The sequence below is a fragment of the Homo sapiens genome, chromosome 18, assembly GCF_000001405.40.
Source record: "Homo sapiens chromosome 18, GRCh38.p14 Primary Assembly".
Taxonomy (NCBI): domain Eukaryota; kingdom Metazoa; phylum Chordata; class Mammalia; order Primates; family Hominidae; genus Homo; species Homo sapiens.
Genome location: NC_000018.10, coordinates 42,106,652 through 42,133,966, shown reverse-complemented (window position 1 = coordinate 42,133,966; position 27,315 = coordinate 42,106,652). Strand labels below are relative to the sequence as shown.

The window sequence follows — 27,315 nt, the reverse complement described above, 5'->3', positions numbered from 1 at the left end:
TTCATTGATGACTACTCACAATAGCAAAGACATGGAATCAACCTAAATGCCCATCAATGGTAGACTGACTGAAGAAAATGTGGAACATATACACCATGGAATACTACGTAGCCATAAAAAAGAATGAGATCATCTCCTTTGCAGCAACATGGATGGAACTGGAAGCCATCATCCTTAGCAAACTAACACAGGAACAGAAAACCGAACATCACATGTTCTTACTTATAAGTAGATACTAAATGATGAGAACACATGGACACAAAGAAGGGAACAACACACACTGGTGCTTACTTGAAGGTAGAGGGTGGAAAAAGGAAGAGAATCAGAAAAAAAATAACTGGTACCTAGGTGAGAAAAAATAATTTTACAACAAACTTCCATAACACAAGTTTACCTATACAACAACCCTGCACATGTGCCCCTGAAACTAAAGTAAAAGTTAAATAAAATAAAAAGAAATGGGCTATCCAGCTGTGGAAATACGTGGAAGAAACTTAAATGCATGTTACTAAGTAAAAGAAGCAATCTAAAAAGGCTACTTACCATATGATTCCAACTATATGACATTCTGGAAAAAATGAAGCTAGGGAGAGAGTAAAAAGATCAGTGATTGCCAGAGTTTGGGGGTAGCAGAGATGAATAGGTGGAACACAGAGGATATTTAGGGTATTGAAACTATTTTGTGTAATACTATAGTGGTGGATATAGAGTCATCATATATTTGTCTTGAAGGGTGGCAGAATATATCATCTTAAAATACGCCACTTTGGCATAAGAATTATTTCAAACTAAAGACACTTGAAAAACAGTAGACACAGAAAGTTCACTCTGCCCTCCCTGTATCAAGAGAAAAAAACATTCTTATCACTAGAGATGGGAGCAAATTCTTATGTGAAGGATGCCCTCCTGTAGCAAAAAATTAAATAATAAAAAGAAGCAGCTGCATTCTCATCTCCAGAGACGGGAAGTCAAGACTGAAAAAAATAATCTGTACAAATAGACTTTGTTAAAATAACTCTTTCCTTCCTTTGGGCTCCCCATATATTTCAGTCACTGTTCCACAATTGCCACCATGTCCAACCTACTATATAATCATTTCGGTTTTGCCACGTCTTTAGGGCTTCATCTTTCTATGGGGGCTCCCATGTATGTGTACAAATCTGTATGCTTTTCTCCCATGAATCTATCTATGTCAATTTAATTTTCATGCCCAGGCAGAGACCCTAAGAGGGTGGAGGTAAAGTATTGCCTCTCCACACTTCGAAGCCATAGAATGTACTACACCAGGAGTGACCCTCATGTAAACTACGGACTTTAGTGATAATGATATATCAGTGTAGGTCCATCAATCATAACAAACTTAGCACTCTGTTGAAGGATGTTGATGTGCAGTTGTGGGATTAAGGATATATAGAAAATCTCCATACCTGCTGCTCAATTTTGCTGTGAACCTGAAACTTCTCTAAAAGTTAGTTTATTAAGGGGGAGAGAGAGAGAGAGTGAAGGAGAGGAAGATGAGGTTAAAAGAGTGGGAAGTGGGAAGGATTAGGCTAAGACAGAATAATTCAGTAGAACTGAAAGTTAAGGCAAGTTGAAATTTCCATTCCCTTATTATTCACTTGTTCTGAATTTCTTTGTCACACTGTTAGAAGTAGTGATCAGGTGATTGGCCTTTATTCAAAGTTCTTCGATTACTTTATTCCCTCAACCTGGAGGGGAGAAACAGCACTCTGGTCCAGAAGAGAATATCACACTGCCTGAATGAACTCAAGCTCAAGTTTGAGACTGATTTCCCTGAGGTCACAGTTTTCTGCTCCCAGTGAAACACAGAAGCTGGGATCGGGGTGGCCCATATTCCAGGCTAGCCCAGCTTTCACCTGACGGGGACCTAAACAAGTGTCATGGCTCTAGCTGCCTTCTCATGTGGTGGCAGTAATGTGCCCCATATATTGCAAGGATGTAATAAAGCACATGTTTACCTATGTAACAAACCTGCACATCCTGCACATGTACCTCAGAACTTAAAAAATAATAATAAAAATGAAAACAAAATAAAGTTCAATTAAGATAACAGATGAAAACCTGTTGCCAGGAGTTTGGCAGCCTGCCATTCTCAGGCATAGCAGCTGCTGTCAGATTGAACTGGTTAGGGGCTACACCCTTGTGAATGCAGGACACAGGATGATTCTAAAGCCAGTCTCTTCTATTCTCCTTCTTCACTGATAGAACCTTCTCCCTGGGCCTACCTTTTATCTTCAGCTCCAAACACAATTGACTCTGCCTTTAAGAGGGTAATACAAGTTAGATATGAGGTACTGGGAAGTTTTCTGCTTTTAATTTCTGCTTAATGACTTATTGGCCAGGGCACTATAACATCGTCTTACTTAACAGCCTTTCCTGCACAATAAACTGTGCTTGGCGCCCACCTCGGCCCACAAACCCGACGATTAAGCGATCGTTTGTCCTTGGGAGCTTGACAGAAACAGGAGTCTAAGCCGGGTTGGGAGGAGCCCAGACTTATTAAAGTAATAAATAACCTGGAAGCCCCCACCAAGCTGCCTCCTCCCCCTTCTTATTTACTTCCTTTCTGTGGCTTCTGAGATGGGGGACTTAATTGCTTGGAAAGATAGTTGCCTAAGAACTCGACAGTACTTGCATCCCAGAAACAATAAAATAAAACTGGGAAGCTCTAGGGCTACAGCTTAATAACAGCTCTGCTGCTGGCTGGGCTGGGTTTATCGGCCAGCGCTCACTCAGAGCATGTTTCTAGAAGAGCAGCACTCACTCTTGTGCACATAAATGCACTCCATGAGGCGAAGATGCATCAGGCTGGTCAAAGGGAGGCCCTCTAAGATGAGGTTCTTATTCACCTTGTCTTTTGTTTATCTCTTTTTAATTTTTTTAATTATAGTTTTTTTAAGAAAATTATTTGGCAAACATAACTTTAGAGGTAGAAATTCTTGAACATTGCCTTGTACTTAATATTTTTAAATATCTGTCTTCTCTGTATTCTCATTTGATCACAAATTTTTAGATTATTATCACAAAATATATGTGTGTGGCTCAGGAACAACTTATCTAGACAGAGCTCATCTCTCTAGAATGTTCTCATATCCAAAACATTATAGTATCTAAAAAGCGTTACATAAGGAAGGCAATTTTCTAGAAAGTCAAAATAGACATTTCATTTATATACATGCCAGTGCTCACTTTTTCTCCCTCTTACACACAATTCTTACAAATGTATTTTTTTTTGCTTTCCCAGCCAGCCTAGAAAGTAGTAATACTTCTTGGCTGGGTGCAGTGGCTCACGCCTGTAATCCCAGCACTTTGGGAGGCCGAGGCAGGCAGATCACGAGGTCAAGAGATCGAGACCATCTGGTCAACATGGTGAAACCCCATCTCTACTAAAAAATACAAAAATTAGCTAGGCGTGGTGGTGCACACCTGTAGTCTCAGCTACTCAGGAGGCTGAGGCAGGAGAATCACTTGAACCTGGGAGGCAGAGGTTGCACTGAGGTGAGATCACGCCACTGTGCTCCAGCCTGGCAACTGAGCGAGACTCTGTCTCAAAAAAAAAAAAAAAAAAAGAAAGTAGTAATACTTCTTATAGGCTCATTATTACAGCCAGTCACTCATCTTTCTACTTCACTTGTTTGAGTTAAGCTTGTGAAATTTATATAGCATAAACCATTTTAAAGTGAATAATTCACTGGAATTTAGTACATTCACAACGTTCTGCAACCACCACCTCCATCTAGTTCCAAGACGTTTTCATCATCCTAAAACTCCATACGCATTAAGTGGTCATGCCCCATTCCCTCCTTTCCCCAACCCTGGCAACCACCAATTTGCTTTCTGTTCCTATCAATTTATGTAGTCTGTATATTTCACATAAATAGAATCATACCACGTGTAACTTTTTGTGTCTGGCTTCTTTTACTTAGATAACCATTTTCAAGGTTCATTCACATTGTAGCTGGTCAGTGTTTCATTCTCTTTTATAGTTAAATAATATTCAATTATATGGATATACCGCATGTTATTTATCCATTTGTTTATTGATGAACATGGGTTGTATTGTGAACAGTGCACACATAAATATTTCTGTATAATATCAATTAGAATATCTGCTTGCAATTCTCTTCAATATACCCACGGGTGAAATTTCTGGGTCAGCTGGTATTTTTATGCTTTACTTTTTCAGAAACTGCCAAACTGTTTTTCACAGTGGCTGAATCATTTTGCAGTCCCACCAGTAATGTACAAGGGTTTGAATTTCTTCAATTTCTGTAATTGTATTTCACTTACAATTCCTACAAATATATTTATCTAATTTCCCTGCCCCTAGTCTAGAAAGTAGTTGTACTTTTTGCAGGCTCCGTATTAGGTGCCAGTCACTTTTTTTTTTCCCGCTTCCCTTATATAAGTTAAGTTTATTCCCAGAAATGCATGCGCCTACTTATAGCAATTCACAGCATTGTCCAAAAGCTGAAAATTACCATTCAAACTTAGGCAAAGTTGCTGTGAAGAAACCTTAATTTTTCAAGTGCCAAGTTCTAAAAAGATATTTTCAGGTATGCAAGCTCCCCCAATTTTTTTTTTTTTTGACACGGAGTCTCACTGTGTTGCCCAGGCTGGAGTGCAGTAGTTCGATCTCGGCTCACTGCAAGCTCTGCCTCCTGGGTTCATGCCATTCTCCTGCTTCAGCCTCCCGAGTAGCCGGGACTACAGGCGCTCACCACCATGCCCGGCTAATTTTTTGTATTTTTAATAGAGTCAGGGTTTCACCATGTTAGCCAGGATGGTCTCGATCTCCTGACCTCGTGATGCACCCGCCTCGGCCTTCCAAAGTGCTGGGATTACAGGTATGAGCCACTGCGCCCGGCCCCCAAATTTTTATATACATATTCCAACCTGGATTTCAGAGACAGGCTTATTCAGGACTATTATTGTCAGGTCTTCTGCTGTGGTACATATTTTTTTTTTTAACAAGGATGTTTTCCACCAAAATAAAAGATTAAACCAAGTAAGAAGACAGCATGAAATCTGAGAAATAGGGAATCCAAACTTTCTAAACATCAGAGAAGTTTCTAAAATGATAGCAAAAAGTCTCAGGATGACAGCTGGAAATAATTTCCAAGAAAACAGCAGGCCAAAATAAAAGGAAAATGGAAGTTTCCAGGTGGGATGACTCCAGAAAAAAAAATGAAATTGTTAGATTACCTTCTATAATTAACTTAATGAAAAATTATACTGAAGACTATTGAAATGAGAGAAAAGCAATTTAGTACAAAGAAAACTAACCAGATTAAAAATCAAAAAGTTACTAATTAATCACTTAAGGTATACAAGAATATGAAAAGGAACAATCAAAGTGCACTATAGACATAAGGATGCAAATGCAATGATTAACAAAAATGTATAATAATACTATATCAGAAGTATAGGGAGAGGAAGCAAAAGAGTTAATGGTATAAGAGAGTTTTCTGATCAAGTACTATTAAAAATACATAATAGAGTATATCTAAAATTAATGAAATAGAAGATTGCCATGTACATGAATGTTTCAGTTATGTATTAATATAAAAAGTTACCCCAAAATTCAGCAGTTTAGTACAATAGTCATCATTTTATTATTATCTCACATGTATGGAACTGGTTCTGCCAATTGGCCAGGACCTCAACTGGGATGGTTGGCTGAAGCACCTACATGAGGCTTCTCTACACTGCATGAATTACTGTATAGCATAGCAGCTTCAGACCTCTTACATGGTAGCTCAGGACTCTGAAGCCAATTGCCCCAGGAGGTTCATGTGGAAGCTGAACCATTTTTTATGACCTAGTCACTGAAGTCATCAAGTGTCACTTCACCATAATCACAGGCCCACCTTGATTCTGGAAGAAGAAACACAGACACCACATCTCAGTGGGAGGAGTATCAATGTTACATTGCAAGAAGAGCACATGAGATGGAGATCTTACTGAAAAATATAGTTTGCCACACTTATTATTTAGAAAGAAAATATTAAAGCATGAAAAGAGAGTCTAAGAGTCATGTTTGCTTCTGGTGAGAGAAACTGGGGGCAAGTTTTGAAAGTATTTTTCTTCTTATATATTATATAAAAAATAATAATATATTTATTATATATATATAATATATATGATATATACATATATATAAAGAAATAAACTAGTTTTCCTCTCTAAATGGGTACATAAAGCCTCAGGCACTCCAAGGACGTACTGCTGGTTTACGTCAGAGTTGTCAGAGCACACATATGTCAGACTTGTGAAAGCTCTGCGTCTCACTTTGCACTCTGCATAGGCATCACAGCTCAAATATCACCAACCTAAAAAGACAACATCAGTTGTTTGGAACAGTCTTCTTATGTGACAATAAGAACCCTTTATCCTATGACATTTGTATCAACCACAAAATGGCCCAAACTCCTAGTATGTGAATATCACAGAATTAGGCATATAAGCAGTCAATGATTAAATCTCCTGGCCAACATAAGTCTAGTTACAAGAACTCTAAGAAGCTATCTCAAGAATTTAGTTATTTGAGATATTATCAAAAGTAATATTGAATATTTGAATCCATGAACCAATGGAATTGACACTTAGAGATCATTTCATTATTCAAAAATTATCTTTGCTGTTTTCTGTTTTTTTGTTTTGTTTTGTTTTGTTTTTCCAAACCATTTGCTCTAATGGGATTACCTGAACAGGGTAAAATGTTAAATGAGGTGGCTGTAGTGGGAATTAGGAGAGTTCTGGGGTCCCTGCTCAAACATCAGGGATCTGGAATCAAAGCCAGTTTAATTAGTAGTTTTTGTCATGTTCTGCCAGTATTTTTTAAATCTATTAAACAGAGACACCTACTTATAACCTGCAATTCCCTTCTTTTGGAATGTTTTGCTTTCATCTATGCCCCCCTCCAACACAGTTGATATATTATAAATCTGTAATGCATTTTGATATCTGCCAAGACTGTAGATGTTGGACATGAGAGGGAAGACTTAAGTGCCTGTAATTGTGCCAGAAAGTCTAGAAAAGCCCCACTCTCCCACTGTTTATGAAGAACTTCCCAGTGCAACTATCCCTGAGGTAAGTTCACATAATATAGCACACTGAGTGGTTGAAACTGGAAGGGAATTTTGAAATGTTGCAATGGGAGAAGGGGTTTTCCTCTTTCTTATATTAACCTTGTTCATAATTTCTGTCTCAGAGCTAGGATGGAGATGCCCACACTCTGGCTTCTACGTCATAATATTATGACATCAACTTATATCAGAATCCTCTGAATCAGAGAGTTTTTTGACTTTTTATAAGTTTTTCCAGGGCTACAGCAAAGGTAGTTCTAGCTCTAGGACCAGAAAATAGGAGCTCCTTTTTTGAGAAAGGACTAGATGTATGCAAATCCATATGCACACATTTTACAACCAAATGACCCCATCTCTATTTCTTCATGTAACACGGAGTAAATTATTTGATGTCTGCAAGCGTGATGTCTACAGCCTGTATCCAGATCCACGACACATGAAAAACAGTATCTTCTCTGGTTATTTCATTGTATTGTATCTAACACAAAGGCCTATATGGATCAATTCTCTCCACACCTCAGTTTCCTGTTTCCATATGTAAAATGAGAGATTTTTGATCTTTAAATATCCTTCCAATTATAACATTGTCTAGGTCTGTGAAAGTAAAATTAATCATTCTGAGATTTGGCTGCATGGAACTTTGTATGAAGGTGGAAGGAAGTTTAGCTTCAGAAAGATTCCAGAAGTAATTGACTTTGTCCTTGAAAAAGAGGTAAGATTTGGTGGAAATTAGTGAGAAGAGTTAGTTTCTTTCCATTGTCCCATGAAGAAAGCTAAAAACAGACATTGTACAGTTGTCTTAGCTGCATATTTTAGGGCCCTCTCACTACTGGGCATTAAATAATAATTTTGGGGTGAAGCCAAGTGTGGAGGAAAAATACATTGTGGCTGTTTTGTGATAAGTATTTTTGCAGATTATCATGAACTCCTCCAGCTTCACCTGAACATAGGCTTTTCTCATTTCCTCACACCTCTACCCAAAGCTGCATTTTCTTATTCTTTTTCCCCCTTTTAAGAATATCCATGGGATTTCTGCTCTGGCCAAGATGGAGTAACAGGAACCAGATTTATTCTCCCTATGGAACAACTTTTAGAAGGGCAATAAATATAAAATATATAAAATAGTAGTTTTTAAGAGATTGGACATCAAACACCAAAGGAGAGTGATATCTGAGAGTTTAAAAATGGGACTGTCTCAGCTTGCTACATGAGACTGTTCAGGTAGCCGCACAGGGAAGTGGAGCCTGGGTGGAACCTGGTGGACTCCTTGCGTTGAAGAGATGAAGCTGAGAATCTGGGGAAAACCAAGGCAGCTAGAGTCCACAAGACAGAGTACCAAAGAAGACAAAGCTTCACAGAAAGAAAATAATGAATACCTGTAGAGAGATTCCTTTGAGTATTCATCATGTGAGAATGAATGTGAGGAAACTAGCTGAGGCTAGAGAAAGAGCAATCTGAGAAGATTAGAGGAAACAGTGCCCAGCAGTCTTACATGGCTGGGAATAACACCTGTTCTCATCTGCCAGGCTGGAAAACCTTGTAATTCATAAGATGATGTGGAGAATACTTATAAGAGTCTTTCTCCATTCATAGAGAATAGTTAGCTCTGTACAAGATGCAGTTCTGGTCCCATCTAACAAATCTTAAATATCCTTTACCAAAAGGATCAGTTTCCAAGTAACTTCTAACTAAAACAGAGTTCAAAAATTTGTAAAAGGATACAAAAATTCTGATTCTAGATCTTTCAGTCAAATGGTATTTCTGGTTCTAGATCTTTGAGGAATTGCCACACCATCTTCCATAGTGGTTGCACTAATTTACATTCCCACCTACAGTGTAAAAGCATTCCTATTTCTCTGCAGCTTTGCCAGCATCTGTTGCTTCTTGACTTTTTAATAATGGTCATTCTGATTGGTGTAAGATGGTATCTCACTGTGGTGTTGATTTGCATTTCTCTAATGATCAGTGATGTTGAGATTTTTCTCATATGTTTGTTCGCTGCATGAATGTCTTCTTTTAAGAAGTGTTTGTTAATGTCCTTTGCCCACTTTTTAATGGCTTTGTTTTTTTCTTGTAAATTTGAGTTCCTTGTAGATTCTAGATATTAGACCTTTGTCAGATAGATAAATTGCAAAATTTTTCTCCCACTCTACAGTTTGCCTGTTCACTCTGATGATGGTTTCTTTTGCTGTGCAGAAGCTCTTTAGTTTAATTAAATCCTATTTGTCAATTTTTGCTTTTGTTGCAATTGATTTTGGCAATTTCATCATGAAAATTTGCCTTTGCCTGTGTCCTGAATGGTATTGCCTAGATTTTCTTCTAGGGTTTTTATAGTTTTGGGTTTTACTACATCTTGAGTTAATTTTTGTATAAGGCATGAGGAAGGGGTCCAGTTTCAATTTTCTGCAAATGGATAGCCAGTTCTCCCAGCACCATTTATTAAATAGGGAATCCTTTCTCCATTGCTTGTTTTTGTCAGGTTTGTCAATGATCAGATGGTTCTAGATGTGTGATCTTATTTTTGAGTTCTCTATTCTGTTCCATGGGTCTACGTGTTTTTGTACCAGTACCATGCTGTTTGGGTTATTGTAGCCTTATAATATAGTTTGAAGTTGGGTAGTGTGATGCCACCAGCTTTGTTCTTTTCGCTTAGGATTGTCTTGGCTATATGGGCTCTTTTTTGGTGCCATATGAATTTTAAAATAGTTTTTTCTAATTCTGTGAAGAATGTAAATGGTAGTTTATATGGGAACAGCATTGAATCTATAAATTACTTCATGCAGTATGGCCATTTTCACGATAATTAATTCTTCCTATCCATGAGCATGGAATATTTTTCCATTTGTTTGTGTCCTCTCTGGTTTCCTTGAGCAGTGGTTTGTAGTTCTCCTTGAAGAGGTCGTTCACTTCCCTTGTTAGCTGTATTCCTAGGTAATTTATTCTCATTGTAGCAGTTGTGAATGGGAGTACTTTCATGATTTGGCTCTCTGCTTGTCTGCTATTGGTGTATAGGAATGCTTGTGACTTCTGCACATTGATTTTGTATCCTGAGACTTTTCTGAAGTTGCTTATCAGCTTAAGAAGCTTTTGGTCTGAAATCATGGAGTTTTCTCGATATAGGACCATGTCATCTGCAAACAAAGACAATTTTACTTTTCCCCTTCCTTTTTGAATACTCTTTATTTCTTTCTCTTGCCTGATTGCCCTGGCCAGAACTTCCAATACTATGTTGAATAGGAGTGGTGAGAGACGACGTCCTTGTCTTATGGTTTTCAAAGGAATGCTTCCAGCTTTTGCCCATTTAGTATGATATCAGCTGTGGGTGTGTCAAAAATATCTCTTATTATTTTGAAATATGTTCCTTCAATACCTAGTTTATTGGGAGTTTTTTTTAACATAAAAAGATGTTGAATTTTATCAAAGGCCTTTTCTGGATCTATTGAGATAATCATGTGGTTTTGTCTTTAGATCTTTTTATGTGATGAATTACTAGAATGAAGAATACCATTTGACCCAGCATTCCCATTACTGGATATATACCCAAAAGAATACAAATCATTCTATTACAAAGATACATGCACACATGTGTTCACTGCTGTACTATTCACAATAGCAGAGACATGGAATCAACCCAAATGCCCATCAATATTAGACTGGATAAAGAAAGTGTGGTACATATACACCATGGAATATTATGCAGCCATTAAAAGAATGAGATCAAGTCCTTTGCAGGGACAGGGATGAAGCTGGAAGCCATTATTCTCAGCAAACTAATGGGGGAATAGAAAACCAAACACCACGTGGGAGCTGAACAATGAGAACGCATGGACACAGGGAGGGGAAGAACACACACTGGGGCCTGTTGGGGGAGGGAGAGCCTTAGGAAAAATAGCTAATGCATGCTGGGCTTAATACCTAGGTGATGGGATGATCTGTGCAGCAAACCACCATGGCATACATTTATCTATATAACAAAACTGCACATCCTGCACATGTACCCAAGAACTAAAAATAATAATTTTTTAAAAGGTAGTTATTGTCTTTCTAAAAAGAAAAAAACTGAATACAAAAATCCTCAGCACTCAAAAATTAAAATCCACAATGTCTGGCATCCAATCATAGAATCCAGAAAATACAACCCCTAATGGGAAGAAAAATAAACCAATTGAAAATAACTCATCAACACAGTTAATACAATCAGTAAAGAAAAGCATTAATATGGTCATTACAGCAAACAGAAAACCCTGACACAGTACAAAAAGCAATGATAGGAAGATTCTGAAAGGTGGAAAGGATACAGGAAATTGAGAAAAAACATGGTAGTGTGTTCCCTTGGTTTTCTTTTTGTCTTCCATACAGCTCAGAGAGGGTGCTAGAGAAGCCTAGAAAAAAGTTAGCCTAACAAAACAGAAAAGAAACTTTTTTATAATACTCACCCTACTTCAGCTAAACACCAAGGGAAAAAACACTCGCATTGCCTCCCCACTGTGGCTTCAGTAGGGCCTATCTAGCAGGTAGCTGATCATCCAACTCCCACCCAGTAGAAGAAGGTGGTGCCACTCCAGTTCTCCCGCCAGGGTGGTGTTGGCATGGATGAGTAGGGAACTGGGCTTATATTTTCATGCAGCAGTAACAAGGAGGTACAAGTTATTAATTTGCCTTCTCTAGGGAGTTATCAGTAGGGCCTAATAAGAAGCTTAACTTCCACCCACTTATTTGCAATGAGGCAAGTGAGTAAGCATTTCCCTTTTGCCAGAGTAATGTCAGCATGGCCTAGGAGAGAACTAAACATTCTCATCCCAATCTGAACCCATGTACTATATCTAAATAGGGTGACTTCCTGACAAAAAAAGAGTAAATAAATCCAGAGTCTCATAACAATGTACCAAAAATGCCCAGGACACAGTTGAAAGTCATTCATACCAAGAACTAGGACTATCAAATTTCATTAGAAAAGACAGTCAATAGATGCCAATACTGAGATGACTCAAGTATTGGAATTATCTGACAAGGGTTTTAAAGCATCCATCATAAAAATTCTTCAATCATTAATAGCAATTATCAACATTCTTGATACAAATGGAAAGTAAAATTCTTAACAAAGAAAGAGCAGATATTTTAAGAACCAAATACAAAATATAGAAATGAAAAATATAATAACCAAAATTTAAAACTCACTGGACAGGGTAAAAAGTAGATTGGAGGCAATAGAGGAAAAAATCAGTGAACTCAAAGACAGATCAATAAAAATTACCCAACATAAACAACAGAGAGAAAAGAGACTTAAAAACAAAACAAAACAAAAAATGAAGGCAGCCTGAGAGACCGGTAGGAAAATAACGAAAGATCTAACATAACGTTTGAGTTACAAAAGAAGAGGAAACATATGGAGCTGAAAAAATATTCAAAGAAATAATGGCTGAAAAACTTCCCAAATCTGGTGAAAGGATAAACCTAATTTCAGAAGATGAGAGAACCCCAACCAGAATAATGGTCAATAAATATACACCAAGACATACTTCTGAAAACTAAAGACTTTTTTTTTTCTTAAAGAAGTTAGTCTAACCTATAGAGGACAAAAACTATTCGAATGCCAGCAGATTTCTCATCTTGAAACCATGGGATCCAGAAGGAAGTGGCACAAAAGTGCCACAACATTTTTTAAGTGCTGAAAGAAAAGAACTATCAACACTGAGCTATAGCTACTGAAAATATCCCTCAGCAATGAAGGGGGAAATAAAGTCATATGCAGAAGAGAAAAAAATCTAACAGCATTTTTCGCCTACAAAATACCCACAGACAGTTACTAAAGAATGGTCTCTAGACAGATAGAAAATGGTAATAGAAAGAGCCTCAAACTTAAGGAAAAAAGAAAAATGGAATGGGAAAAATATGGGTAAAGAGATTATCCTTTTCCTCAGGAGTTTTTTTAGATTATATTTGATGAATGAAGCAAAAATTATAACATCATCTAATGTTGTGCTCAATGTGCATACAAAACATAATAAAAACATTTATGTTTTAAAATAAAGATTTTTACACATCACTCAAAGTAGTAAAATGCACACAGGATACAGGTAGACTGGGATATGTTTCATACATATATTTTAATACCTGGAGCAACCACTAAAAAGAACCTACACAATAATATATTAAAAAAGTGTGGGCACAGTGGCTCATGCCTATAATCCCAGTAGTTCGGGAAGCCAAGGCAGGAGTATCGCTTGAGACCAAGGGTTAGAGACCAATCTGGGCAAAATAATGAGGCCCTGTTTCTACAAAAAAAAAAAGTTAAAAAATTAGCCAGGCATGGTGGTGTGTGCCTATAGTCCCAGCTACTCAGGAGACTGAGGCAGGAGGATTGCTTGAGCCCAAGAGTTCGAGGTTGCAGTGAGGTATGATCATGCAACTGCACTCTGGTCTGGTTAACAGAGCAAGATCTTGTCTCTAAAAAAACTAATAAAAATAACAATATATGTAAAATATTAGGTATAAATGAAAATAGAATTCTAAAACAAAGTTCAAGTAACTCAAAAGAAATCAAGAAAAGATGCTGAGAGTAACAAAAAACAGAATGAACAAATAGAAAACAAATAATAAAATAGAAGACTTAAGCACTAACATTAAACAAAAACCCATATTCCAGACATCCATGAAGAAGTAATTAGACATAGGAATGATATGCAAAAAAAGACTTCCAAAACTTCTAAAGTTGAAAATTAGAATGTCTGAGAAGAAAAAATACATGGAATGTATCTAGTGGCAGAATAGACATAGCAGTTGAAAAGATTAGTGAACTTGAAGACATAAAGATAGCAACTATCTAAAAGGAAAAACACAGAGAAAAATAATTTTAAAATGATAATAAGAACATCAGTAACCTCTGGGACAATTCCAAGGACCCTAATACATGTGTAACTGGAGTCTTTGGGGAAAGGAGCACAAAAAGAGTCGAAGGTATAACAACTGAAACTTTTCCAAACTTGATGAAAAACTATAAACCCACAGATCCAAGAAGCTCAACAAATCCAAAGCACAAGAACATGAGGAAAATTAACCCAAGGCACATCACAATCAAATTTCTCAAAAACCAGTAATAAAATAAAAATATTTTCCCTAACTATAATGGAAATAAATTAGAAATGAATAAGAGAAGGATATCTAGAACACTCCCCCCAAATATTTGCAAACTAATACAGTTCTTAATAACCCATGGATTAAAAGAGAAATCAAGGGAAGTTAGAAAGTATTTTGAATTACATAAAAATGAGAAAGCAACATATCGAATGTTGTGGGATGTAACTAGAATAGTACTTAGAAAAAAATTTATAGCACCAAAAAGCTCTCAAATTAATGATTATAACTTCCATTTTAAGACACTAGAATAAGAAGATAAATGAACCACAATGTAAGCAGATGAAGAGAAATAATAAAGATTGATGCCAAAATCAGTAAAAAACATAAATTCTGATATTTAAGCACAATGAATCTGAAGAAAGACAAATAAAAATGAATCCATCATAGCTATTTCCCAGTGAAGCTTCAGAATGTAATAGAAAAGAGATAAATTCCAATTGCTACCAGAAAGAAATTTCCTAAAGAAATGATAATTAGATCGATGATATATATTTTTACAAGCAACAATATATATCAGAAGACAAAGGACTAACTTCTTCAACGTAGCATGGAAATAACTGTTGGAAGAGATTTCAACAGGCAACCAACTTCAAACTGAATTCAAAACCAAAGTGCCAAATAAAAACGTTTTCAGAAATATAAAAACTGGAAGTGTCAACAACTTACAAATCCTTAATGAAATAACTGTATAAGAGATATGCTTCCACAAGAAGGAAATTAAGCCCAAGAGGAAGATTGCGGGAAGCAATAAGCAAAGAAGATAGTAAATACATTGAGAAGTGTAAATATGTATTGAGGATTTAGAAGAAAAAGATGGTGATAACTAAATTTTGGAGGGTGTTTCAGAGGAGAAAGATATTAATAAATCTTAACCCTTCTTAGACTAAGTATACATATTTAAAATGTAACAACAATCACCAGAAGAATAAAAATCACGTGGATCACTTTGAAACCAGTAGAAGTAAAAAGGGAATTGTAGAGTCTCAGTCACTCTAACAGAAGTCGGAAAAGGAGGTGGAGTGGGATGGTGGGAGTAAAAATGGGTTAACAGAGTCTACATTAGTTTTCGGAGTCAGAGAAAGTTTCATTGAAGGAATAGATTTTGGTTGAGGAGTTTTTTTGTTTGTTTGGTTTTTGTTTTTGTTTTTGCTTTTTTTGTTTTTTTTTGTTTGTTTGTTTTTTGGCATAGTTTTGCAGGCTGGAATGCAATGGTGTGATTTCGGCTCACTGCAACCTCTGCCTCCTGGGTTCAAGTGATTCTCCTGCCTCAGCCTCCCGGGTAGCTGGGATTACAACAACGTGCCACCACACCCAGTTTTTTGTATTTTTAGTAGAGACAGGGTTTCACCATGTTGACCAGGCTGGTTTTGAACTCCTGACCTCAGGTGATTCACCCATCTCAGCCTCCCAAAGTGCTAGGATTACAGGCATGAGACACCATGCCCAGCCAGCTGAGATTTTAATGACAAAAAATTGCCAGGCCTGAGGAACTTTGTAGGCAGAGTTTTATAAGTCTGTAAGAGCTACTGAAAAAACCCTAAGAAAAGGGTGAGCTTGATTGTGGACAAGAGCCTAGTACAAGGAGGAATGTGTAGGAAAAGATTTCAAAGAAACAGGCAAGGACAGGCAAAATAGATTAGGATCTTGGGGAAATAATAACTCTTTTTACTGAGATGGTATTAGGAAGGTTTGGTGGAGGAGATGGCACTGGGATCAGGTGATGATGCAAGACTGGGGACGGGATACTTTCCGGCAAAGGGAAAAATGGGAAGCAAGCTCCAAAGTCAAGCTAACTCCAAACCCTAGAGGATACTCAAAGCCAACTAAAATTAAGAAAAAACACTTTGAGGCCGGGTGTGGTGGCTCACACCTGTAATCCCAGCACTTTGGGAGGCCAAGGTGGGTGAATCACGAGGTCAGGAGTTTGAGACAGCCTGGCTAATATGGTGAAACCCCGTCTCTACTAAAAATACAAAAAATTAGCTGGGTGTGGTGGCAGGTGCCTATAATCCCAGCTACTGGGGAGGCTGAGGCAGGAGAATCGCTTGAGGTTCTCAATCGCAGGAGGCAGAGGCTGCAGTGAGTCAAGATCGTGCCACTGCACTCCAGCCCAGACGACAGTGCGAGACATCGCAAAAAAAAAAAAAATACTCTGAATACACTGATGAATCGTTCTTCTCTCCATGACTCAGTCTCTCATTTTTGGATTTCCAAGTCCAAAGTCTCTGTTTATTCCATGTGTACTTGAAAGTGTTAGCCTAACCCCAAATATCTTGATGTGAAGGGCAGAAAAAAATGCCTCATTTTTTTTCCTTCCAAAACTAAATGTTAAGTATCATCTTCAAGGCTGACTTCCACCACACTTCCTAAAACAGCCTTCTTGAATACTCCAGAGTTTCTAATTGCCCTTAACTCTGCTTTCTCTAACCTTACCAAGTCAGGTTCTATTTCATTGTTTGTGTGTCTGTAAATTTTGCTTTGTAGGACAGCATAAGTCCTTTACACAAAATTATAAACATTTTAAGATAGGATTAAATAGCATCCAATCCAAGGAAGAATGAAATCTCCATTTCTGACATCAATATATGTGGAGAATTAGAAAGATCCCCAGTAATAACGTTCTTGTAGAGAATACGAGCTGTAAAAAAAATCCTTGTCTGCTCATAATCCGTAGTCATCAAATAGAATCATGCAATATTCAAGCTACAAGCAATCTTAGAAATAACCCAACTCAAGTTATTGTATTTACACATAAGAAAATTGACGCTGAGAGAGGAAACTGTCTTCCTTTATCTTGAAGCAGAGCCTGACTTGAAATCCAGAGGTTTCTTACAAATGAAGAGGTTACAGGAAAAGATCTTTTTCTATGTCAAATGAGTCAAATGTTCCCATTAGCTTTAAAATAGGTCTTAAGAAACAAGTCCTTTAAAGAGAATTAAAAGACAAGCCATAGACTGGGAGAAAATATTTGTAAAGATATATCTATTAAAGGACATGTACTCCAAATATACGAAGAACTCTTAAAACTCAACAATAAGAAAACAAATAACCCAATTTAAAAATGGGCAGAAGATGTGTACAGACGCCTCACCAAAGAAGACATACAGATGGCAAATGAGCATTTGCAAACATATTCAACATCTTATGTCATTAGGGAATTACAAATTAAAACAACAACGAGATACCTCTGCATACCTATTAGAATGGCTAAAATCCAGAACACTGTCAATACCAAATGCTAGTGAGGATATGGAACAACAGGAACTCTCATTCATTGCTGTTAGGAATGCAAAATCATAGTCACTTTGACAGTTTGGCAGTTTCTTATAAAACTAAACATTCTCTTACCTACCCAGCATATCTCTTTCCTATTACTTACACTATCCAGCAATCATGCTCCTAAATATTTATCAAAGTGAGTTGAAAACTTGTGTCCATATAATAGTTATAGTAGCTTTCTTCATAGGTGCGAAAAATTAGAAGCAAACTTCATAGCAATTCACCAAATGAATTGATAAACTATGGTACATTCATGCAATGGAGTATTATTCAGCAATTTTTAAATAAGAGCCAGCAGACATGAAAGGCATGGAGGAATCTTACACATATTGCTGAGTGAAAGAAGCCGGTCTGAAGAGGATAACTACTCTGTGATCCCAATAATACAACATTCAGGAAAAGGCAAAACTATAGAGCCAGTAAAAAGGCCAGTGATTCCCAAGGTCTGGGGGCTGCAAGAAGGTGGAATGCGTTCTATTGATGGAGCACAGGGAACATTTAGGACAGTGAAACTATTCTGTATGATGCTATAATGGTGAATATATGACACTATACATTTTCAAAAATATAGAACTGTATAACACAAAGAGTAAACCTTAAACTATCAACTTTAGTTAACAATAATGTGCATCAATATTGCTTCATCAATTTTAACAAATATTGATATAGTTTGGTTGTGCCCCAACTGAATCTCATCTCAAATTGCAGCTCCCATAATCCCCACATGTTGTGGGGGAGACCCAGCAGGACGTCACTGAATCCTGGGGGCAGGTTTTCCTGTGCTGTTCTTGTGATAGTGAATAAGTCTCACAAGACCTGATGGTTTTATAAAGGTCAGTTCCCCTGCATGCATTCTCTTGCCGCCACCATGTAAGATGTGTCTTTGCTTCTCTTTTGCCTTCTGCCATGATTAGGAGGTCTCCGCAGCCATGTGGAACTGTGAGTCCATTAAACCTCTTTTTCTTTATAAATTACCCAGTCTAGGGTATGTCTTTATTAGCAACATGAGAACTGAGTAATACAAATGTACAACACAAATGTAAGATGTTAACAATGAGGAAACTTGGGGGAGAAGGATAAAAAGCTCTCTTTCTGTGTAATTTTTTTGTAAACCTAAAACTACTCTAAAAAATAAGTCTATTAAATAGAAAACACAAGGTTATTTTGAAAAGCAAGTCTCAACAGTACCAGGACAGAAATACTTAATATGCAAACTGTCAACAAACAGGTAGCAGCACAGTAACATATATTAAACCCAACACATGGCTGATATTTTTTATATTATAAACTTAACAGGGTTGCTTTTAAAGAATATTTAGAATAGAATGAGCATATTAACTGAACACAGAGAAACTAGAATTTTACATATTATTACATTGTTCCTCGTACAACTGCAAATCAGGGGGAATGAAGTTTCAAGACAGTATTTTTCCTTGGGATTTATTCTGAGTGATTCTTGTTATCTAGACCGTATCCAAATGGTATGATTTTCTTTCAACAGTATTATTTTAAGTCCTTATCTTTGTTTCTGTAAGTCCATATTTTGTATGAGACGTAGGATTTCTTTTCTTGATGCCCATATCCATTTTAATCATGTAAATTAAAGTATAAAATACAACCCAATCTTCAGAAATTTACTTTATAAATACTGCCTCCAAAACACCATCCTCTATAAAAAGAGCAGCTTATTCCAGAAACACCCTGTTCAGATACGCATTATGATACTAACCACATTAAATTATAGTGGAATGGAGAGAAGTTATGGAAAATCTTAGAACATATAATGTAGCTTTCTTCTTTTAGTTATTTCAGGGGAAAAACAAAAAAACAAAAAACGTTTCAGGCTTCTGTGCTGAGAAACAAGCCCTAGACAGTTGGCCGGACCACCCAAGCCTCTAGCTTAGTGAGCACCGCCATCTAGTGGAAGGATTTTGTTTCTGGTTTCAGTTTTACCAACAATTAGCTGAATGGCTTCTGGGAAGACATTTAAACTGCCATCAGCGGCCTCGTGCATGAAATTGGAGATAATAGTGCCTATTCTGTCTACTTTCTTAGCTACAGGGGTGAAAAATATGAAGTACTGAAAACCCTCAGGGTCTTTATTATTAGTTCATAGCTGCACTTGAAAGATGAAAGCTAATTTTTACTCTAACAAAGCAGAATTCTCTAGGCCCTGAGAATTCAGATAAGTTTTGGCTGAAAGTTATTGGTTTTCTCTCCTTCTAGGATTGTGGCACATATAAACCTAATTAGTGCATCTGAAAGTTTATGAAGTGACTGGTTAGAGTCCAATAACCTTTATTGCATGTGGCCCACATAAGCCAATTATAAAGGAAAATTATGGGCACCGTTCTGATGCAATCATGGGTAAACCACAGAAGAGGCCACAAACAGAACTTCATTCTCAGTGAAAAAACACAGATAACCAGACTTGGACTTCGAGGCTTGGCAACAAGGTCAGGTCTGGGATTCTATGGCGATTGATGTGCCCTGTCTGAGGCTTTCTCTAGCCTCTGGGCCTCCTTTGTCTCCTCCTCCCTCATTCATGTTAAAGGCCATGATTGGAAGCCTTGAACAGATATGCAAAGCGTTCCTTAAATGTAGACAATTGAAATACAAATGTTCCTCCCATGCACTATTAATTATTTTACAGCTTTCCCCAAGCACACTGTGTATATATAGCAGCTTAAATGGTGACTAAAAAATGTGAAGAGAATTTTTTTTCTCAGTTTTTCTGTTTCTGCTTCTCACTTCCCCATTCCATTTGTACTCATTCCTCCCCCTCCAAGTATTTGAAGAAGGTAAATATATTTCAAGAAGGCAAAATTGCATCAAAGACACACTTTGCTTTTTTTCGTAGTTGAGATTGGCAACAGTCTACACCCATGTAACCCTGGTTAAGCTGCCTTAACACTTGGGCAGAAGTTTCTTTATCTGTAAAACAGAGATAGGCAGGCACTAAGTCATGAAAAGCTTCAGTGTGCCTAGCACATAGTAAGTGCTCAATGGCAAATATTTTTAAAAGTTGGGGAGGGAGAAACCTTAAAAACATTAAGTCTGGCAAGTTTACCAGTAAAAGAAAGTGAGCTCAATCTAGAAACGTTCATCTGTATTCTCAAAGGAGAGAAATTCTGGAGGATGTTACCAAAGAACTCTTGATTCTATGTGGTTTGGCTGTGTCCCCACCTAAATCTCATCTTGAACTGTAGCTCCCATAACCCCACATGTCGTCAGAGGAACCCGGTGGGAGGTAACTGAATAATGGCAGCGGGTTTCTCCCATGCTGTTCTCGTGATAGTGAATAAGTCTTATGAAATCCAATGGTTTTATAAAGGGCAGCTCCCCTGCACACGTGCTCTTGCCTGCCACCATATAAGGCATGCCTTTGCTTCTCCTTCGCCTTCTGCCATGATTGTGAGGCCTCCCCAGCCACGTGGAACTGTGAGCCCATTAAATATCTTTTTCTTTATAAATTGCCCAGTCTTGGGTATTTCTTCATAGCAGTATGACAATGGACTAATACAGCAATGTATTGACTTTTGTCACTGAGCCGTTGTAAAACAAACAGCACTTAATATACAGTAGGCTTTTAGCGGATATTATTTCATCAACAAAGAATGTGTATGTCATTTGCAGTGAGACAATTCTCTATGGCTCTTTCTTGTTTCTGCATATCTTAGAAACAGAGGCCCAACTCCCTTTGTTCTTGACTGTCTTCCTAAATATGTTTGTATAGCTAACAGCCTTAGAAGATCACTCCCTCCAGAGCCAAAGGCAGGTTTATTTGTTATCGGGGAAAATTCAGCCCCCAATATTTCAATGTAGGTTCTTTTCTCTTTCCCTAAGTGTCAGCCGGTTTGAGAAATAAAGGGAAAGAGTACAAAAGAGAGAAATTTTAAAGCTGGGTGTCCTGGGGAGACATCACATGTTGGCAGGTTCCATAATGCCCCCTGAGCTGTAAAATCAGCAAGTTTTTATTAGCAATTTTCAAAGGGGAGGGAGTGTACGAATAGGGTGTGGGTCACAGAGATCACATGCTTCAAGGGCGACAAAAGATCACAGACAGAAGGTCAGGGCGAGATTACAAGGTCAGGGCAAAACTAGAATCACCCATGAACTTCCATGTCCTGCTGTGCACGCATTGCCCTTGATAAACATCTTAACAGGGTTCAAGAGCAGAGAACCGGTATGACTAGAATTCACCAGGCTGGAATTTCCTAATCCTAGCAAGCCTGGGGGTGCTGCATGCAGCCAGGGTGTGTTTCATCCCTTATCTGCAACTGCATAAGGCAGACGCCCCCAGAGTGGCCATTTTAGAGACCCCCATGGGAATGCATTCTTTTCCCACAGCTGTTAATTATTAATATTCCTTGTTGGGGAAAGAATTCAATATGTCTCTTACCTGTTTTCGGTAATAAGAGAAATATGGCTCTGTCCTGCCCGGCCCACAGGCAGCCAGACTTTAAGATTACCTCCCTTGTTCCCTGAAAATCACTGTTATCCTGTTCTTAAGGTGCCCAGATTTCATATTGTTCAAACACACATGCTTTATGAACAATTTGTGCAGTTAACACAATCATCACAGGGTCCTGAGGCGACATACATCCTCAGATTACAATGACAGGATTAAGAGATTAAAGTAAAGACAGGCATAGGAAATTATAAGGGTATTGATTGGGGAAGTGATAAATGTCCATGAAATCTTCACAATTTATGTTCTTCTGTCACAGCTTTAGCAGGTCCCTCCATTCGGAGTCCCTGACTTCCCGCAACAGTTTGTAGCTTAGTAAATAAAGATAATGACTTTCTCTGCAAAAAGGAAGGGCAAGTTTGCTTGCAGTCCATTAATAAACTATTGGGGTTTCCTAAATTCAAGATTTCTCATCTGTGACACTCACTATGTGTGCAGCATCTACCTAGGCTACTCCATGTTGCCTCTGAACTTGAGGGCCAAGAGAAACTGACATGAACATGAGGCTCATGCTGCTAGCTTTGCTGTGAGCAATAAAATCCTTTGTCTCTGACTCAGGAGACTCATGTGTTCTGCCAGTGCCCATGAAATTGTGGTAGAACAATTTGCCACCTTGCAATTAGGGTAAAACTCTGATGAGACCTTCCATACTTCTTGACATCCCACTTCTTGCTTCATTTGTTTTCTAGTCCCCCAGATGAACCTTCCAGATGAGTGTATTAGACAGCCAGGTGTGAGAACTCAATGAAATGAGACTTTATCTTCATATAAACCCCTATTTGGAAAACCCAGATTTGACTGAATCAATAAGCTGTTTGTTAACATAAAAATTATTGCTTATCAGAATTATATCAGTTTTGTTTTTTTAACCCCAAGCCAAACTGTGTGTAAACACTTGTATGTATAGCCTGAATTATCTTCTTATTTAAGCTTTCCTTGTCCTGAAAATGGAGAGAGCAAGTGTGAGGTGTTAATAATCAGAAATACCAAAACCAAGAAAATTATATGCACATCTCAAATTGTCACAATTCTTCAAAATTTTTCCATTTTATAGTAGGTGAAACTGGGAATCAGAGGCATTAAGTAACTTGCAAAGATTACACAGCTAGCAAGTTGCAGAGTTGGATTAAGAACCAAATTCTGTCTGACCCCAAGTAGGTTCTAGTCTACCATGTTCATCTTTAAGACAGGTAGCACAAAAGCCCATTCTCAAGACTATGGCTAAACTTTTCTAGCCAAAAGTCTAACTTCCTTTTCCATTCTATTGTCTGACACTCCATCATAGTAGAAGATAGGCACTGCAATATCATAGAGGGAGAAAGCACTTCAAGGGAGTTAAAATGAGCTTTCATATGTTAGAACTGGAGCTCATGGTGGCTTTAAATAATTTCTCTGAATATCAGCTTTATGATCTTTAAAATATATACAATAAAATCTACCCTTCCTGTTGAACAAGACTTCTGTAATTTAGAAAGAAAAATCAGAATGAGATAATTTATGCAAAAGCACTTTGTTAGGGTGTAGAGAAGGGAGAACAGAACACTTATACACTGTTGGAAGAAGTGTAAATTAGTACAGCCACCATAAAACAGTATGGAGTTTCCTCAAAAAACTAAACATAGAACTACCATATGATCCAGAAATTCCATTGCTGGGTATATGTTCAAAAGAAAGGAAATCCATATATCAAAGAAATATCAGCACTCCCATGTTTATTGCAGCCCTATTCATGATAGCCAAGATATGGAATCAACCTAAGTGTCCATACACTTAAGTATACAGAAAATGTGGAATATATGCACTATTCAGCCATAAAAAGAATGAAATTCTGTCATTTACAGCAACATGGATGAAACTAGAGGTCACTATTTTAAGTGAAGTAAGCCAAGCACAAAAAGACAAAAACTGCATGGTTTCACTCGTATGTGGGAGCTAAGAAAGTGGAACTCCTGGAGGTAGAGAGCTGATTCATGGTTACCAAAGGCTAGGAAGGATGAGGGGGATAAAGAGAGTTTGGTTAATCTGTACAAAATTACAGTCAGGGACGGGCACGGTGGCTCAGGCCTGTAATCCCAGCACTTTGGGAGGCCGAGGCAGGCAGATCACAAGGTCAGGAGTTCGAGACCAGCCAGGCCAACATAGTGAAACCTTGTCTCTACTAAACATACAAAAATTATCTGGGCATGGTGGCAGGCACCTGTAATCCCAGCTACTCGGGAGGCAGAGGCAGGAGAATGACTTGAACCCAGGAGGCGGAGGTTGTAGTGAGCCAAGATCGCACCACTGCACTCCAGCCTGGGCGACAGAGCGAGACTCTGTCCCCCCCAAAAAAAATTACATTCAGATAGTGTTCAATAGTATAGTACAGTGACTATAATTAATAATAATGCAAAGTACAGTTCAAAAGAACTAGAAGAGAAAAATTGGAATGTTCTCAACGTAAAGAAAAGATATATGTTTGAAATGATAGATATCCCAGTTACCCTGATCTGATCATTACACATGGTATGCATGCATCAAAATATCACATGTACCCCCAAAATATGTAGAATTAATATGTATCAATTTTTGAAAAGCACTTTGTCAACACCGTTTTGCTTTTTTGTGTGTGGAAATTCTTAAAGACACTACTCTTTTTAATTTTGTATGCATTAGGTCTTCAAGAATGTCCGTTTAAAACACAAGAGAAGGAAGGTTTCATCTTAAATGATGATTGGCAGACAGTAGAGACCAGAACAAACCTTTGAGGATTTGGATACAGAGTAAACCTGAAGGTGGGTGGTACAAAAAAGAAAAAGAATGGAGAAGGCCCCTATTTCACTAATTTGACTACATCCAGCATTAAACCCAAAAGGTCACACATCCCAGTGCAAGAGGACCCCAGCATTGGCAGTGAGTCAAATTCCCTGAGCTTTTCATGTTCATTTTCAATATTAATTTATTTTCCAAATAGAAGCTGGAATACTAAATCAACTAAGAGCATCCATCTGATAAAAGATATGCAAATATCTTTATAAATATACAGCATCATCTATAATGTTGACAGGTTAGATAAAGGGACCAACTTTCACTTAAAACTCTAAATTCCAAATAGAGGATGTAAATACAGTCACTCTTTTCCCCCAACATACTCACTCTCTCTCTCTCTCATACACACTCACACACACACACACACAGACATGCACATACAACCTATTTTATTTTCAGTTTCACAGATAGTTATAAATTGCATATATTATTCACAGACTCCTCAACCCCAACCCACCTTCACATACAAACCAGACTCAAATATTGTAGGAACCTCTAATGCCAAGGCTTGAATTTAAAAAATTAATAGATTCTCAGAATTGTCAAAGGTGCTGTGGAAATGCAATTAGGGCACATATCATCTTTGGATGTGTGAAATAACAACAGTAAAAAGTGTCCAAACAAAATAAAAACAGCAGCAAGACAAACCTGGTCTAACATTTGCTAAGCAGGAGCCCACCCCTGCAGCAGCCCATGGCTACTTCCTGCTCTCCAGCCACGGCCTTTATCAACAATTCTTTTCTGTCTCCTTAATAAATAATTGGGGTGTGAAGCCCCAAAGGCAGCGGAATGTCCCACCTGGGGAAAGCAGGATGAATGCACAGAGGCAGCCCTAGGACGGACTGATGAGTGACTGGCTAGGCAGCTCTCACTTGGTCCAAGCCAGCCTGGAGCTGGAGTCCCTGAGAGATGACAGATGGTTCAGCATCGACTTTTCAAAGGGAAGAAGGGAAGGTTGCTGTGGAGAGACATCCCAATTTGCAGTCCTTTTGTTCTTGTGTATGTGTGAGCTCTGACCTCTTACTCCCTCCTCCTTGTTCTCTTCCTTTCCCTTTCCCCAGATCTCCTTCTCCACATCATTCTATAATGCCAAGAGAAAACCAGAATAAAAAGAAAGAATAATCAGGGTCAAAAAGTCAGAGGGCCCATCTCTGATCTGTCCTGTGTGGCTGATGAAGCCTCAGGCTTCAGAGTATCTGACAAGGCATCAATGGAATCAATGTGGCTAAATTAAAACGTGCAGAACATACCATGTTTTACACGTAGCTCTTGGGAGAGAGGAGACACGGCCAGCAGGATCTGAGAGAGCGTGAAAGGCTAAGCTGGTCAGCAAGCCTCCTGGAACTGGCAGACAGGGAGGGCAGCAGGAGCTCCTAAGAACCCAGGCACACAAATATGTAGAAAGAAAAACCAACGCAGGTGAACGCTGATTACAGTGCTCACTGGTCCAAGTTCCAAGGGACTTATTTTCTGATTGTAAACAATGTACTAATTTTATAAAAATTGGAGAATGTAGGACCCCTAAAACACGGTGGGACTTTTGTGGAATGGGCGAATGCAGTCAGGGAGGTGACACTATAGGCCAGTGAATGCTCTATATCCAATGCGTGCTTACTGAGCACTCACTACAAGGCACTACCTGTGTTGGGTATGCATACTCTGTGCCTTTTGTTAGCCTAAGAACACAGAACACAATAGCAACTCAATGCCTAAAATGAACAATAACCCAACTGCTGACAGAGGTATTGACTGCTCCTGGGCTAACGATTTAGCATCTTAATTCCTATTGAGCTTCAGTGTCCCTTTGAAATATCAGCTAAATCATTTAGACACTGTTTGAAGTATAAATAGGGATTTTTGAAGTTTATCTAGCTTACTGAGTAAAGAATTAATTGCTGCATTTACTTAATGAGGTAGTATGTCCCATTAATTTTTTTTTCCTTTCAGCCAAGTGCATACATTTAATATTTCACTGTCTGTCTGCTCAACATTTCTTTTTCATGAAGCATAGCTCAAAGAAATTTCAATAATACTGTTTTAAATTAGCTGCTTCCTGTCAAGTTAATAAACCTCAGATACTTAAGTCCCCTACGTACAGTCCCAAGTCTCCTGTTCAAGGCTAATTCTCTTTGCTTCTCCCATCTCCATGGCCACCTCTCTGCCTAAAGCCCATAGAACTATAACGATGAACTAGAGGGTTCATCTGCATGGCATTGCAATTATGATAATAGCTGATACTTACATGGCAGTTACTATGTGCCAAGATCTGTTGTAAGTGCTTTACACACATTAACTCATTTAACCTTCACACAACCTTATAAGGTAGGAACTATTATTATCCTCATTTTACATGTCTAGAAGGTCTCCAGAGTGGCCTCCTTAGGGAACTATATAAGGAAAAGAGGAAGAGAAGAGACACTTAGTTCAAAGATATTTTCTCAAGATTGAAAGGAAGAAGAGATTCTGACCCCAGCTTCTGTTTCTCATTTAGCTTCTCTTATGGTCCAGCTT

At 38.0% G+C, this 27,315-nt stretch overlaps 1 long non-coding RNA gene across 1 annotated transcript, besides 1 other annotated feature; it reads right to left on the bottom strand.

Annotated features, from left to right (window-relative positions):
• Positions 20,003 to 20,142: an enhancer, noted in NCBI's record as "active region_13249". NCBI's record gives its function as "activates an Ori minimal core promoter by ATAC-STARR-seq in GM12878 lymphoblastoid cells {active_cell/tissue: GM12878}" and the evidence as "EXISTENCE:reporter gene assay evidence [ECO:0000049][PMID:35858748]".
• On the bottom strand, positions 24,917 to 26,153 carry LOC124904350 (uncharacterized). Its single transcript, XR_007066453.1, has 2 exons — positions 26,055 to 26,153; positions 24,917 to 25,885 (listed from the first exon to the last, which is right to left on the bottom strand). It is a non-coding gene; the product is annotated as an uncharacterized LOC124904350 (long non-coding RNA).
• Between the last annotated feature and the right edge of the window lie 1,162 nt (positions 26,154 to 27,315).